The 16177-nt window shown below is 49.7% G+C and overlaps 2 long non-coding RNA genes across 2 annotated transcripts, besides 1 other annotated feature; one reads left to right on the top strand and one right to left on the bottom strand.

Moving 5' to 3' along the window:
• Nucleotides 9455–10172: an enhancer, noted in NCBI's record as "OCT4-H3K4me1 hESC enhancer chr12:66685-67402 (GRCh37/hg19 assembly coordinates)". NCBI's record gives its function as "activates a minimal SCP1, AML or CMV promoter by ChIP-STARR-seq in primed H9 embryonic stem cells {active_cell/tissue: H9 hESC(primed)}" and the evidence as "EXISTENCE:reporter gene assay evidence [ECO:0000049][PMID:30033119]".
• Nucleotides 10377–11849, top strand: FAM138D (family with sequence similarity 138 member D). The gene is made up of 3 exons (NR_026823.2): nt 10377–10737; nt 10983–11185; nt 11288–11849. It is a non-coding gene; the product is annotated as a family with sequence similarity 138 member D (long non-coding RNA).
• Nucleotides 11850–12221: 372 nt separating this feature from the next.
• Nucleotides 12222–16157, bottom strand: LOC107987170 (uncharacterized). Its single transcript, XR_001748946.2, has 3 exons — nt 15791–16157; nt 15363–15480; nt 12222–12294 (listed from the first exon to the last, which is right to left on the bottom strand). It is a non-coding gene; the product is annotated as an uncharacterized LOC107987170 (long non-coding RNA).
• Nucleotides 16158–16177: the final 20 nt, after the last annotated feature.

Below are 16177 nucleotides of genomic sequence, written 5' to 3'. Positions count from 1 at the left end.
AGCTGACTGCAAGGAGGTGTGGGGAGGGTTGTGAATTTTGGGGAGTGATGGAGCTGCTCTGTATCTCAATTGTGATGTGGTTACACAACTGCATGCATTTGTCAAAACTCACAGAACTACACTCTAAAACGTATAAATTTTACTGCATGTAAATCTTACCTTAATTAAAAATTAAAAAAATTGAAGATGTGGATTTAGGTAAGATTCACTAAGTGATAAAGATAGAGTTGAGTTACAAGAGAATTGCTATCTCCATCTTGCATGGGAGGAAAATGAAGCTCAGAGAAGTGAAGTGGCTTCCCAAGATCACACAGCTACTAAGTAGCACAGCTGGGGCTCAAAACCAGAGCCATGTGATCAGATGGCCCATATTCTTTTTGTTCCCTCCCATCAACCAAGCCCAGGCCCATGGCTGAGCATGATGGCCAAGCAGGGAGGAGGGCCAGCTCCTCTTCAAGGAAGAAGACAGCGTGCTGTTCTTTATATATGTAAATGATGTTCTGTTCCTCACCCATCACCAATCACACAGGTACTTAGGTTGCAAGGTGTGGGGACTGCCATGGTGATGATGGCTCTCCCCACCAGTCCTCAATGGGAATACCAGCAAGACGCCAGGCCACAGTAAGGGATTCTGTCTGGGCCCTCCAGACACCCAGAGGGCCACGATGAGATCTACTCCAGAGGAGTAATTGTACCCTGCCCCAAACTACCAGGGATCTTGACACTGACATAGCTCTTTATACTTTCCAACTCCAGAAGTATTAACTGGGAACAACTACATTTTCCAGCCCTGAGCTTGTGGACCAGCTCCAGATCTTGTGATCTGATCTCTCCCTATGACTGTTACAACTGCCTCAAGATGGCTTACTCTGCCTCCCGTCCCATCCCACTCCTAATCGCTCCCCACACTGCTACCAGAGGGACTTCCTTATACCTTATACAAAAGTTAACTCAGATAGATCAAATACTTAAATGTAAAACCCCAAACTATAAAAATCCTAGAAGAAAATCTAGGCAATACCATTCAGAACATAGGCATGGGCAAAGATTTTATGATGAAATTGCCAAAAGCAATTTCAACAAAAGCTAAAATTGACAAATGGGACATAATTACACTAAAGAGTTTCTGCACAGTGAAAGAAACTATCTTCAGAGTGCACAGGTAACCTACAGAATGGGAGAAAATTTTTGCAATCTATTCATCTGACAAAGGTCTAATATCCAGAATTTACAAGGAACTTAAATAAATTTACAAGAAAAAAACCCATCCCCATCAAAAAGTGGGCAAAGACATGAACAGACACTTCTCAAAAGAAGACATTTATGTGGCCAACAAACATGTGAGAAAAAGCTCAACATCACTGATCATTAGAGACATGCAAATCAAAACCTCAGTGAGATACCATTTATGCCAGTCAGAATGGCGATTATTAAAAAGTCAAGAAACGCAGATGTTGGGGAGGCTGTGGAGAAACAGGAATGTTTTTACACTGTTGGTGGGAATGTAAATTAGTTCAACCATGGTGGAAGACAGCGTGGCAATTCCTCAAGGGTCCAGAACCAGAAATACCATTTGACCCAGGAATCCCATTACTGGGTATATACCCAAAGGAATAGAAATCATTCTTTTATAAAGACACATACACACGTATGTTTATTGCAGCACTATTCACAATAGCAAAGACATGGAACCAATCCAAATGACCATCAGTGATAGACTGGATAAAGAAAATGTGGTACATATACAGCATGGAATACTATGCAACCGTAAAAAGGAATGAGATCATGTCCTTTGCAGAGACACGGATAGAACTGGAAACCATCGTCCTCAGCAAAATAACACAGGAACAGAAAACCAAACACTGCATGTTCTCACTCATAAGTGGGAGCTAAACAATGAAAGCACATGGATACAGGGAGGGGAACAACACACACCAGGGCGTGTTGTGGGGGTGAGGGGAGGGAGAGCATCAGGACAAATAGCTAATGCATGTGGGGCTTAATACCTAGGTGACGGGTTGATAGGTGCAGCAAACCACCTTGGCACACATTTACCTATGTAACAAGCCTGCACATTCTGCACATGTATCCTAGAGCTTAAAATAAAATAAAATAAACCCAAGGAGGTAAAGACAAGAGGGAGAGAGGGGAAACAGAAACAAGGAAGGACAGTGCCAGAAGAGGAAGTCAGGCAGAAGAGGGAAGGAAGGGAGAGGAGGAGTGCACAGGAGAGCTGGACAGAGGAAGGCCTGGCGGGGCCACTCTGGTTCTCTGGCTCTTCTTTGCCTGGCCAACGCCCAGAGAACCCTGCTCCCCTGGGAGCCGGGACCACATCTGCCCTTCTGTGTGTCAGCCAGGGGCATCTGGCGTCCGGCAAGTGGCAGCTCCCTCATCATCCTGTCTGATCCAAATTCAACCCACATTCAGCCAGGTGACCATGGTGGCTCCTCCCCAGGGTGGAGGTCTGTCCTGAGGCTGTCTGCACTTCCCAGTGGAGCTGGCTTTGAGCCCACTGCTCTTGCCTCTCTGTCCATTCCCTAGAAGGCTGGCCTGCTCTTGCCTCTCTGTCCATTCCCTAGAAGGCTGGCCTGCTCTTGCCTCTCTGTCCATTCCCTAGAAGGCTGGCCTGCTCTTGCCTCTCTGTCCATTCCCTAGAAGGCTGGCCTGCTCTTGCCTCTCTGTCCATTCCCTAGAAGGCTGGCCTGCTCTTGCCTCTCTGTCCATTCCCTAGAAGGCTGGCCTGCTCTTGCCTCTCTGTCCATTCCCTAGAAGGCTGGCCTGCTCTTGCCTCTCTGTCCATTCCCTAGAAGGCTGGCCTGCTCTTGCCTCTCTGTCCATTCCCTAGAAGGCTGGCCTGCTCTTGCCTCTCTGTCCATTCCCTAGAAGGCTGGCTGCCCCTGGGGATGTTTTGCACCAAGCCACTGTCTCCAGCTGGGGACTAGCATCAGGAGAGCTCCTTTCTGTCTCCTAGGTCTGGAATGAAATGACGAGAGTGACCTTGGTCAAGTTTGACTGCTCTGTATCCAGCCATCCTCATGTATAAAGAGGAGGAAAGGAGAGGCACTTCTGTTACTACCGACCAGTTACCAGGTGTGACATTGTGCAGGTCACTGCACACACTTAAAGCAACCAGATGTATATCCATAGTCATCGGTGTTTTATAGAACATAGGAATAGACTCACAGTCCATTCCCCTCCTGCAAGACTACATATTCTATCGTAAAGGATGTGTCAAGGAAGAGCGTGTTGGAGTTCTGACTCTGGAGGTCCGCCAGCCAGAAAATGGCCTCCAGCCTCCCAGTCTCTTCCTGCTCATCAGCATAACCATCCTCCATCCATGAATCCCCACGGCTCACTCATTTTCTCTGCTAGTACTTAGTGAGCACTTCCTATGACCTGGGGATACAGCAGTAAATAAAACAGGCAAACACATTGGAGAGAAAGAAAGCCTGGGAGGCTGAGGTAGGTGGATCGTTTGAGTCCAGGAGTTCAAGACCAGTCTGGGTAACATGGTGAAACCCTGTATCTACAAAAAAAAAAAAAAAAGACAATATGGTGTGTGCCTGTAGTCCCAGCTACCTCAGAGGCTGAGACAGAAGAACCTCTTGACCTGGTGAGGCAGAGGTTGCAGTGAGCCGAGATCATGTCACCGCACTCCAGGCTGGGTGACAGAGAGAGAACCTGTGTCAAAAAAAAAAAGAAGAAGGAAGAAGAAAGGAAATATGGCATGTTGGGGATGGGGATGGAAGTGGGTTGCAATTGTTAAAAGGGTAGCCAGGGAAATCCTTACCGAGATTTTTAAGTACAAGTCTGAAGGAGGCAAGGGAGTGAGTCAAACATATACATGCAGGAAGGGCTCTCTAGGAGGCGAAAGCAGTGAGAGCAAAGGCTGGGAGCCAATGCAGGCCTGGTGGCTTCGAAGAACAGCAGAGGGCCAGCGTGGCTACGGCAGAGGGAGTCAGGGCAGTGTGCTAGGAAGTGAAGGCAGGGAGATGCAGGAGGTGTGGATTGTTGGGGCGTCACAGGCCGTGTGACTCCCAATTGCTGTGTGACAAATTCCCACAAATCCAGCAGCTGCAAATACGACCCAATGTTCCCCAGCTTCTGCAGGTCAGGAGTTGGCACAGCCTAACTGGTCCTCTGTAAGGTGCCATCAGGGTGTCAGCCAGCACTGGGTTCTCATCTGGGGCTCAGCTGTGTGGATGGCTCTGCTTCCAAGCTCACATGGCAGCATTCAGTTCCATGCAGGGTGCTGGACACAAGACCTCAGCTTCCTGGTGAGCATCGACTGGAGGGGGCTCTTAGTTCCTCGCAGCTGATCCCCTCCATGAGGCAGCTTGCAACATGGCAGCCTGCTTCTTCAAAGGCGTCAATAGAGATTCCCCAGAAAGACAGGTTATGATCTTAACATTTTATTTATTTTTTGAGACAGAGTCTCACTCTGTCACTGAGGCTGGAGTGCAGTGGCACGATCTTGGCTCACTGCCACCTCCACCTCCTGAGTTCAAGCAATTCTCCTGCTTCAGCCTCTTGAGTAGCTGTGATTACAGGCGTGCACCACTATGCCTGGCTAATTTTTGTATTTTTAGTAGAGGCGGGGTTTTGCCATGTTGGCCAGCCTGGTCTCGAACTCCTGACCTCAGGTGATCCACCCACCTCAGCCTCCCAAAGTGTTGGGATTACAGGCACGAGCCACTGCATCCAGCCAGTGATCTTATACAATATGATCAGTACATGAATCACATATATACCGCCTCCTTCATAAGCAAGCCACAGGTTCTGCTTACAACCAGAGAAGGGGATTATTCAAGGGTGTGAATGGCAGAGGTGGGGGTTGTGGGGGGTCACCTTAGTATCTGCCACCACAGCCTGTCCTCTGTCCCCAAGACTCATGTCCCTTGGGCATGCAAAACACATTCACCCCTGTTGAGATCCCTTCATGCTCACAGTCCCGAATCTCATCTAAATCGGGTTTAGGTGTAGAACAGATTTCTTTGGATGTTCCTCTGATCTGGAAAACTAAAGATACAAGCTATCTGCCCCCTACATATGCAACACACAATGGTGGGTGAAGCTGGAGACATCGCTGTTCAGAAAGAGGTAGCAGGGGAGGGATGAAGGAATGGTGGTTCTGAAATCCAGCTGGACAGATGCTGGTGTTCCCTAAACAGGTTTTTTTTTTTTTTTTTTTTTTTTTTTTTTTTATTTTTATTGATCATTCTTGGGTGTTTCTCGCAGAGGGGGATTTGGCAGGGTCATAGGACAATAGTGGAGGGAAGGTCAGCAGATAAACAAGTGAACAAAGGTCTCTGGTTTTCCTAGGCAGAGGACCCTGCGGCCTTCCGCAGTGTTTGTGTCCCTGGGTACTTAAGATTAGGGAGTGGTGATGACTCTTAACGAGCATGCTGCCTTCAAGCATCTGTTTAACAAAGCACATCTTGCACCGCCCTTAATCCATTTAACCCTGAGTGGACACAGCACATGTTTCAGAGAGCACAGGGTTGGGGATAAGGTCACAGATCAACAGGATCCCAAGGCAGAAGAATTTTTCTTAGTACAGAACAAAATGAAAAGTCTCCCATGTCTACTTCTATCCACACAGACCCCGCAACCATCCGATTTCTCAATTTTTTCCCCACCCTTCCCGCCTTTCTATTCCACAAAACCGCCATTGTCATCATGGCCCATCCCCAATGAGCCGCTGGGCACACCTCCCAGACGGGGTCGTGGCCGGGCAGAGGGGCTCCTCACTTCCCAGTAGGGGCGGCCCGGCAGAAGTGCCCCTCACCTCCCAGATGGGGCGGCTGGCCGGGAGGGGGGCTGACCCCCCCACCGCCCTCCCGGACGGGGCGGCTGGCCAGGCAGAGGGGCTCCTCACTTCCCAGTAGGGGCGGCCGGGCAGAGGCGCCCCTCACCTCCTGGATAGGGCGGCTGGCCGGGCGGGGGACTGTTCCCCCCACCTCCCTCCCGGACGGGGCGGCTGGCTGGGCAGAGGGGTCCTCACTTCCCAGTAGGGGCGGCCGGGCAGAGGCGCCCCTCACCTCCCGGACGGGGCGGCTGGCCAGGCAGGGGGCTGATCCCCCCACCTCCCTCCCGGACGGGGCGGCTGGCCGGGCGGGGGGCTGACCCCCCCACCTCCCTCCCGGACGGGGCGGCTGGCCGGGCAGAGGGGTCCTCACTTCCCAGTAGGGGCGGCCGGGCAGAGGCGCCCCTCACCTCCCGGACGGGGCGGCTGGCCAGGCAGGGGGCTGATCCCCCCACCTCCCTCCCGGACGGGGCGGCTGGCCGGGCGGGGGGCTCCTCACTTCCCAGTAGGGGCGGCCGGGCAGAGGAGCCCCTCACCTCCCGGACGGGGCGGCTGGCCGGGCGGGGGGCTGACCCCCCCCACCTCCCTCCCGGACGGGGTGGCTGCCGGGCGGAGACGCTCCTCACTTCCCAGACGGGGTGGTTGCCAGACGGAGGGGCTCCTCACTTCTCAGACGGGGCGGTTGCCAGGCAGAGGGTTTCCTCACTTCTCAGACGGAGCGGCCGGGCAGAGACACTCCTCACCTCCCAGACAGGGTTGCGGCCCAGCAGAGGCGCTCCTCACATCCCAGACAGGGCGGTGGGGCAGAGGTGCTCCCCACATCTCAGACGATGGGCGGCCGGGCAGAGACGCTCCTCACTTCCTAGATGGGATGGCGGCGGGGAAGAGGGGCTTCTCGCTTCCTAGATGGGATGGCGGCCGGGCAGAGACGCTCCTCACTTTCCACACTGGGCAGCCAGGCAGAGGGGCTCCTCATATCCCAGACGATGGGTGGCCAAGCAGAGACGCTCCTCACTTCCCAGACGGGGTGGCGGCCGGGCAGAGGCTGCAATCTCGGCTCTTTGGGAGGCCAAGGCAGGCGGCTGGGAGGTGGTTGTAGCGAGCCGAGATCACGCCACTGCACTCCAGCCTGGGCACCATTGAGCACTGAGTGAACGAGACTCCATCTGCAATCCCGGCACCTCGGGAGGCCGAGGCTGGCGGATCACTCGCGGTTAGGAGCTGGAGATCAGCCCGGCCAACACAGCGAAACCCCATCTCCACCAAAAAAAAACGAAAACCAGTCAGGCGTGGCGGCGCGCGCCTGCAATCGCAGGCACTCGGCAGGCTGAGGCAGGAGAATCAGGCAGGGAGGTTGCAGTGAGCCGAGATGGCAGCAGTACCGTCCAGCTTTGGCTCGGCATGAGAGGGAGAGGGAGACGGGAGAGGGAGAGGGAGACGGGAGAGGGAGAGGGAGACGGGAGAGGGAGAGGGAGACGGGAGCCCCTAAACAGGTTTTAAGATGTGGGAAGATTCCATGTCTCTTGGCTCTGCCTTCTGGGCTTCTGCCTCTGGGTCATCCTTCTTTTCTCACGAAAGATCCACGTGTTTGCAGCCAAGTAGTTTTATCAGCCTTCTTCTTGACAGCAGAGTTTGGGGGCTCTGACAGTCTTCTTTCATTTTGCACTCTGTCCCCTACAGACCAATCTGCCAGCACTGTGGGTGAAACAGCTTTCCCAAACCCTTTGCCTGTCCTCTGTGGGTTTCAGTGGGGCTCATAGTCGATTTGTCAAGAGCCATACCCATGAATCTTTTAGAGATAAACTCTACCTTTCTACCTTCAGCTCCTGCCAAGATGGCCCCCAGGGTAACTCACTGAAGCTTCCCAGGGGCCCTAAGGTTTGGTGGAGAGGTTCTGCATGGTACACCCTTATAATCTCTTGCAACAGACCTCTGTGTGACTCATTGCTACTCCCATCCTTTGATCTTTATGCATAATCACAAAAGACTGTACAGTTACACCCTATGCCACATGCTCAGAAGCCATTTGTTAATTTCAGCATCTTTTGCCATGTGGGGAGACTGACAATTTTCAAAATCATCAAGTCCTGATTCAATTTTAACAGTTTAAAAACCAGTCTGTTTCTCAATTTATCTCTCTTCTCTCACACTATATTATAAGCAGTAAGAAGAAACCAGGCAGCATCCTCAACATTTTACTTGGAAATCTCCTCAACTGCATACCCAATTTATCACTTACATGATGTGTTTTCCACATAACTGCAGGAGACCACTTTTCTAAGCTTTCTGCTCCTACCTAACAAGGATCCCTGTCCTCCAGCTTCTAGTGCGAAAATCCTCACTGCCTTTGAGCAGTGGCGAGTCCTCCAAGCCCAGATATCTAGCAACAGTCTGCTCACCTTAGAGTCTGTCTGTCACCACCTGGGCCATTTCTAAGGGACCAGAGCTTTCCTCTGAGATGAGGCTTTGAGCTGAGGAGCCACATGATCTGACATGGTTAAGGATGCCTCTGGCTTCCCTGTTGAGAATAGACTGAAGGGGCAAAAATGGAAGCAGAAGAGCAGTTAGGAGGTTCCTGTCAAACCCACGTGGAAGGCAGGCTCTGGGCTGTGTTACTGGACTAACACTAACACCGTCCCCTTGCACTTCTGAGGGTCCCTGGAACTTCCCCAGGGGATGAGACTCCTGGCTAGCAGGACTCAGCCCCTCCCCTTCAACTTTACTCAGGACCTGGTCTCCCCTCCTTAAGGTCTCTGGAGCCCAACGCACACTTCAGCCCACTCTCACAGGCATTCTCTCTGTCCACAAAATATCACCGAAGAGTCTTCTGTGAGTGCAACATGGTGTGAACACTGGGAGTACAAGGAGAAATAAGACACAGTTGCTGTGCTGGAGAAGCTTGTGCCCAGTGGTGGTGATACTGCCTGAGGTGAGACCACTATGCCAGCACAGGAACAAAGACGGCAGGGGCACAGGGCAATTCAGGGGTGCAGATCTGGAGGCATCCAAGAGGCTCCTAAGCCTCAGTGTATAAACTGACAGGTCACAGCCTGCTCTAGGAAACACCTTCCTAAGGGTTGGAGTTATCTCTGTGCATCCCATCCCCACCCCACCAAGCCGCCCTTGGCTCTGCCCTCAGGAGCTTCTGCTTGGCCTTGCTAATTCCTCTCTTCTCCCTGAAGCTAGAGTGAGGTACCTCTTGGCAGCCTTTGTATCTAGAGAGAGCCGTCCAATAGAAACATAAGGTGAGCAACATGCTTAATTTTAACATTTCTAGTAGCTACATTAAACATTTTTAAGTGAAATTAACTTTAATAATACATTTACTTAACCCAATATATCCAAAAGATTATCATTTCAACATGCAATCCTATTTTAAAAATAACTAGTGAGGTACCTGACAAAAAAAATCCCTTTTCATACTAAGTCCAGAAGATCTTTGTGTATTTTATACTCATAGGACATCTGAGTTTGGATGTTACCTTTTTATTGGAAATATGGGATCTGTACTTAGATTTCACTGAATTTACATTGAAAAGGTAGGTTCACATACCCAAGTTGTCTCACACATACCTAAATGTTTTCTGGTAACTGGATGGAGTATCAGTTTTTATATTTATCTTTGCATTAGCTAAAAAACAAATTAATAGTTCAGGTCCTCAGCCGCACGCAGGCAGTTTTCTCCACCGTCCAAATGGTTGCCCGAATTCACCCAGACCCCGCCGTCCTCCGCTTTTTCATGCAGACATTCAAACAACTGCCTCCCTTCCTCCTGGCACCCCCATCCCATCGCCAGCAGCCTCCGAACCAGTTTCCCTCCTGTCCCCATCTCAGCCACCCATGACTCACACACACATCTGTCTCCCCTGGCCCACTTTTCATCTAGTCCTCATAATCTATGCATAAACATTAACATACCACAGAGTCAATCTGCATACTGATTACTTCTGCTCTGGTCAAATTCTTGCTTTCAGGATCAGGAGGCTTTCTCCCCACACCAAACTGGGCCTGAGGAAATAGTGTCTTGTCTTCCTGTCACCCCTCCCGTAGTTGCATGTCTAATGAGACAAGGGGTGTCTCAGGTGAAGCAGGACAGGGAGGATGCCAGCACTTGGGTGGTAGAGGTTTGAGGAGTGCCTGTTGGGGGATGTGTTGGGGAAGGAGGACTTTTCACATATGGCTCATTGTGTCGGGATGATTTCGTTGTTAAATAAGCACCTACAGGATGATTTCACATTCCATACTTCTAAGTTTTTATAATTTAAATTCTTTCCGCCAGGCTGGGTTTTTTTTTTTTTTTCCAAACTTTAAATCTGTGGCTAGAATTGGTTTGATTTACATAATCCTGCCCCTGAGATTTAGCCCCACCCCTGAGAGCCCCCTCAGAGCCACCCACAGCCAGGACACCTCTGCTGGCCTCCCCTTCCCCAGCCTTCCAACTTGTGGCAGGCCCCTGGCTCTGGCCTCCCCCTATATGGGAATGAGCCAGCTGCACCGCTGCTGACAGTGGCTGGGATAATCCTCCCTGAGCTGTTCCAAGGATTAGTCCTGCTGCCCTGTGCCCAGCTCCCACACAACGGGGTTTCGGGGCTGTGGACCCTGTGCCAGGAAAGGAAGGGCGCAGCTCCTGCAATGCGGAGCAGCCAGGGCAGTGGGCACCAGGCTTTAGCCTCCCTTTCTCACCCTACAGAGGGCAGGCCCTTCAGCTCCATTCTCCTCCAAGGCTGCAGAGGGGGCAGGAATTGGGGGTGACAGGAGAGCTGTAAGGTCTCCAGTGGGTCATTCTGGGCCCAGAGATGGGTGCTGAAGCTCCCACACCTGCCTGTGAAAATGGATTCCTCTCTCACCTGGGAGAGCCAGGTGCTGCCCCGAGAAGGATGCATTTATGGCTTCATGAAGTCTTTCCTGACCCCCGATGCTGCTGACTATAGGTAAGTCTGAGCAAATCTGGGGGAGCCTCATCTTGGCATGAGAAAGAGATGGCTTCTTCTAAGCCCACTGGCTGTGATCCCAGGATTATAACACATTCTGGCTCAAGTCCAGACTATTTGTAGAACACAGGAGATCCTCCATGAGAGGTAGTATAATATAGAGGATATGTGTGCTTACTAAGAGGCTGCCTGTCTGACCTTGGACAAGTTCTTTTTATTTATTTATTTATTTATTTTTTATAGAGACAAAGTCTCACTATGTTGCTCAGGCTGGTCTTGAACTCCTGGCCTCAAGCGATCCTCCCACCTTAGCCTCCCAAAGTGTTGGGATTATAGACATGAGCCACTGCACCTGGCCAACCTTGGGCAAGTTCTTAAACCCTTCAAAGCCTCATTTTTCTCCAATCATAAAAGGGAAAGATGGTAATATTTTCCCCGCCAAATTCTTGTAAGTATTAAACATTGTATATGTATTTTGAACACGATTAAGCTCTAAACACTTGTTAGGAAGCAGGAGTAGCATTTGAAACAAACAGCTCTTTTCCCACAGGTCGGATGCCCTCACAGAATTGAGATTATGTACGTAAAACACCAGGTGCCTAACCCGGCACAGAGCAGGAGGGCTAAGCGTGACATCCAGCATGTGGTCAGTGGAATCCAGTATTCCTACCCACCTCTCTAGTCTCCCCTCCACCCCTCTCCCTTTCAGAGGCACCAAGCTGCTTGTGGTCTTGTCTATTCCCACTCCCTGCCCGACTGAACATTTTCTCTACCTCCTGATCATCAGCAGCAGAAACTGGCTGCTCTTCCTCCTGGGTAGACAGCCAGACTGTATTTCCCAGCTGCCCCTGCAGTGAGATGTGGCCATCGGAGCCAGCATTGGCCAATGGACTCTGCATGGGAGTGACGCATGCTGCCTCCAGGCTTGTCTCTAAAACCTCCCACGTGTCCTCCACCTGCTCTTCCCACCTCCAAGGAGCACGGCAATTGTGGAAGACCCAGATTAGTGATGGCAGAACCATAGATGGGAGGAACCTGGGTCCCTGACTTAAAGTATCATGGATTTGGATGTTCCCTTAGTGAGAAATAAACTTCCATTGTGTTTAAGCCTTTATTTGTTTATAGTTGGTTACAGCAACTGCCTTCTTTTAATTAAAACACTCCTGCTGCTTCAAGTTGCTGGAATGCTTGTAACCCTGCCCTGCTTCACCAGGGTAACTCCTACTTGGCCTTTAAGTTTATCTCTGCTGTCACACCGTCCAGAAAGCCTTCTCCCAGCACCACAACCCCTCCACCAAGGGTTAGGTGTCTCCAGCAGATGCTGCACAGCTGGCTGCCCTTTGCCCACCCTCCCCTTCTTTCTCATAGAATCCTAGGACTCCTCTGTATCTAGAAGAAGTTGTGTGGTCCAGTGCTGGCCAAGAAGATGTGAGAGCAAGTCGCTGGGTGGAGATTCTTAGGAAAACTTCTTAAAAAGAACGAGACTGGGCTCCTTTCTGCCTTTTACCATTTTTGTGTATGCTTGCCTTCTTCCCACCTGGGACTCTGATGCAGCACCTGTGAATGGGCACACATATTACAACTCTTAGGCTGAAACCCACGTTCTCAGGCAGAGGTCTCTTGTGGGCATTTAGTGCTATAAATGTCTCTTTACACACTGCTTTAAATGCGTCCCAGGTCTTAGGGTATATACCCAAAGGATTATAAATCGTGCTACTATAAAGACACATGCACATGTATGTTTATTGTGGCAGTATTCACAATAGCAAAGACTTTGAACCAACCCAAATGTCCATCAATGACAGACTGGATTAAGAGAATGTGGCACATATATACCATGGGATACCATGCAGCCATTAAAAAGGATGAGTTCATGTCCTTTGCAGGGACATGGATGAAGCTGGAAACCATCATTCTGAGCAAACTATCACAAAGACAGAAAACCAAACACTGCATGTTCTCACTCACAGGTGGGAATTGAACAATGAGAACGCTTGGACATGGGGCAGAGAACATCATACACTGGGGCCTGTCAGTGGGTGGGGGGCTGGGGGAGGGATAGCATTAGAAGAAATACCTAATGTAAATGACAAGTTGATGGGTGCAGCAAACCAACATGGCACACTCATATCTATGTATCCAACCTGCACATTATGCACATGTACCCTAGAACTTAAGTATATAAAAAAAAAAGAAAAAAAACTTTCACCTTTTTCCAAAGTGTTGGGATTATGGGTGTGAGCAACCACGTCTGGTCCTTTTTTTTTTTTTAATGGAGGTGAAATTCACATAAGTTTGACCATTTTAAAGTGAACAATCAGTGGCATTCAGTACATTCACCATGTTGTGCCAACACTATCTCTATGTAGTTCCAAAACATTTTCATCAGCTCAAAATGAAACCTTGTACCCATGAAGCAGCCACTTCCCATTCTCCCCTCCCCTTAGCCCCTGGAAATCGGCTTTCTTTCTCCACGGATTTACATATTCTGTATATTTCCTATAAATGGAATTACACAATAGGTGACCTGTGTCTGGCTTCTTCCACTTAACCTAATGCTTTTGAGGTTCAGTCACATGGTGCCATGGATCAGCTCTGCCTTCCTTTTTATGACTAATACTCCACTGTATGTCCATATCACCATTTGTGTATTCACTCATTAATCTATGGACACAAGCCTCATTTTTAAGCACTTCAAATATGTTAACTCACTGAATCCTCACCACAAAGACAGATGCAGTTATTACATATTGATAGAGTGAAAACTGAGGCACAGGTAACATGCCTAGGATCACGTGGCTATGAAGCAGAAAGAGGACTCCAGCCGAGGCAGTCTAGTCCCAAAGTCCTTCCCTTCCTAGTAACCACTATGCTCTCCTGCCTCTCAGAGAACAACCCACATAGCACAACACGAGGGCTAAGCTGTCTGGTCTGTCTGGTGAAGCTTCAAATGCTGTTCATTTCAGATAAGGGGAGGTTCCTGGGCTGCAGAGGCTTCCTAGAGGAGGAAGACCATGTAAGGTCTAACTCAGGGCAGGTCAGGATGGTGTGAACTCACTCTGAACACAGTCACCGATGGGTGTTTATGAAAACTGGCTCTGGAACTCCCACAGGGAAGGTTCTTATCTTTGCGTGCACAACACAGAGCCCTCTGGGTAGACTTCTAGACCCAGGCCTCTTTCAAATACATTAGAAACCTCAGCAAGATAAACTATTTTCTGTCTGGCTGCATCTGTCTATCTGTTTAGAGAGCAGGACATTTCCATCCTCCTCTCTCCAGGCATCCTTGGAAGTCTTTCCCACAAGCAAGACATCTTGGTGAAATTTAATGCTGCGGAGGGAAGTGGTTTTCAGGAGAGAGGAGTCTGTTCCCGGAACTGTAGCACAAAAGCTAGAGGCTGAGTAGGAACATCTTAAACTAAGTCCTCAGTCTTATTTCCAGTTTTCTTCCTGTAGATCGGGGCTTAGGACACCCTGTCACATTTTCTTCACTCCTCCACCAGGAATTCCTAAAGTCCATGCTCTTGGATCCTGGCAAATCCAGGAGGCTGGGGGATGTGGCAAGCTTCAGCAAGACTGCCTGGGACCAACCCTGCAGCCTTAATTTCCCAGGCCCACTCAGCCCAGCTGGCCAGCAAAGGCAGGCAGGGCTTCCGTGTCCACACATGAGAATGACCTGCAGCTGTTCTTTGTCCAGGCTGAGGTCCAGGATTCCCATTGCAGCTCCTAGGAAATCTTTAAAATTAGGTCGGGGATGCGCCTGTCAGTAGATTAGGTAGGGAACTTTTATGAAGTTGAGGGTGAACCATCTGGAGGGTGAACTGGCTGGTGTGATTCTAGAACTGGGGGTGGTGCCTAGCAGTGCATTTGTGAGAAGACACAGCCAGGCTTGGTATATGATGTGGTGTGTGTGTATATTCACAGGCATCGTGGAGCATATACACTTTTTTTGTGTGTGTTGAAATAAACCTTACAGATTACCAAGTACTTTTTTTTTTTCTGAGACAGGGTCTCTCTCTGTCGCCCAGCCTGGAGTGCAGTGGTACAATCATAGCTCACTGCAGCCTCGATCTCCCAAGCTCAAGTGATCCTCCCACCTCAGCCTCCCATGTAGCTGGGACTACAGGTGTGTGACACCATGACTGGCTATTTTATTTTATTTTTGTAGAGATGGAATCTCACAATATTGCCCAGGCTGATCTCAAACTCTTGGGCTCAAGCAGTCCTCTCGCGTCAGCCTACCAAAGTGCTGGGATTACAGGCATGAGCCACCACGCCCAGCCAGATTACAAAATACTTTGACATCTTTTCTCTACAGCCCTCAAAAGGAGGCAGGGCAAGCACAATTAAATCCCATTACAAATGGGGTGACTGAAGCTCCATTCATGGCTTGCCCAGGGTCACACAAAGAATGAATAGCAGAGCCCTGAGCCTGTGTGCTTCCCTCTGTGCCAGGCTGCTTTACCCAGGCATGGGTGCACCTTGTGCATGGGACATTTCTCCTTTGTTGTGTCCTGAGTACCTTAAGCCACTCAGATATTGCTCAGGTGGAGTGAGGGGAAAATGTTTTCAGGTTGTATTAGTCAAAACAAAATACCACACACTGGGCGACTTTAAAATCATACATTTATCCCTCACAGTTCTGGAGGCTTGGAAGTCCAAGTTCAAGGTGGCAGCTGGACGGGTTCCCGGTGAGGGCTCTCTTCCTGGTTTGCAGACAGCCACCTTCTCTTCGCATCCTCACTTGGTGGGAAAAGACAGAGGAGAGAAAGAGAGAGAGAGAAAAATGAGATAGAGAGAGAGAGAGAAATGAGATAGAGAGAAATGAGAGAGAGAGAGAGAGAGAGAGAGAGGGAGACACAGAGACAATGCTCTCTTTTCTTACCAGATCTATAATGAGGGCCCCACCCCATGACCTCATCTAACCGTAATTACCTACCAAAGGCCCATCTCCACATACCATCACATTAGGGGTTAGGGTTTCAACATAAGCATTTGGAGAGGACATAAACATTCTGTCTACAACATGAGTGGAGATCCATCTCTTCTTTACCTCTGGTAAGGGGACCACACGCTGCAGCCAGCGAGACAGTGGCATGTTCTTGTTACAACTCGATCTAACTCCCCCAGAAGAGGAGGCAGGGAAGGCGGACAAAACTGGGAGAGGGAGAGAGTGTTAGGAAGAGAGTAGGGTGGCCAGAGGCAGCAAATAAAATATAAAATGCTTAATTCTGAATCTCAGATAAACAACCAATAATGTTTTTTAGCATAAGTATGTCCCAAACTAAGCTTGGGACATATTTACGCTACGAAATTATTCGTTGTTTATCTAAAATTCAAACTAGCTGGGCATCCTGTCTTTTAATCTGGCAACCCTAAAAGGCAAGGGCCAAAAATGCCGGAGGCAAGCCAACGGATTCCAGGAGGGACAACTGCTGGA

The sequence above is a fragment of the Homo sapiens genome, chromosome 12 (genome assembly GCF_000001405.40).
Source record: "Homo sapiens chromosome 12, GRCh38.p14 Primary Assembly".
Taxonomy (NCBI): domain Eukaryota; kingdom Metazoa; phylum Chordata; class Mammalia; order Primates; family Hominidae; genus Homo; species Homo sapiens.
This window is presented reverse-complemented; position numbering and strand designations above follow the sequence as displayed.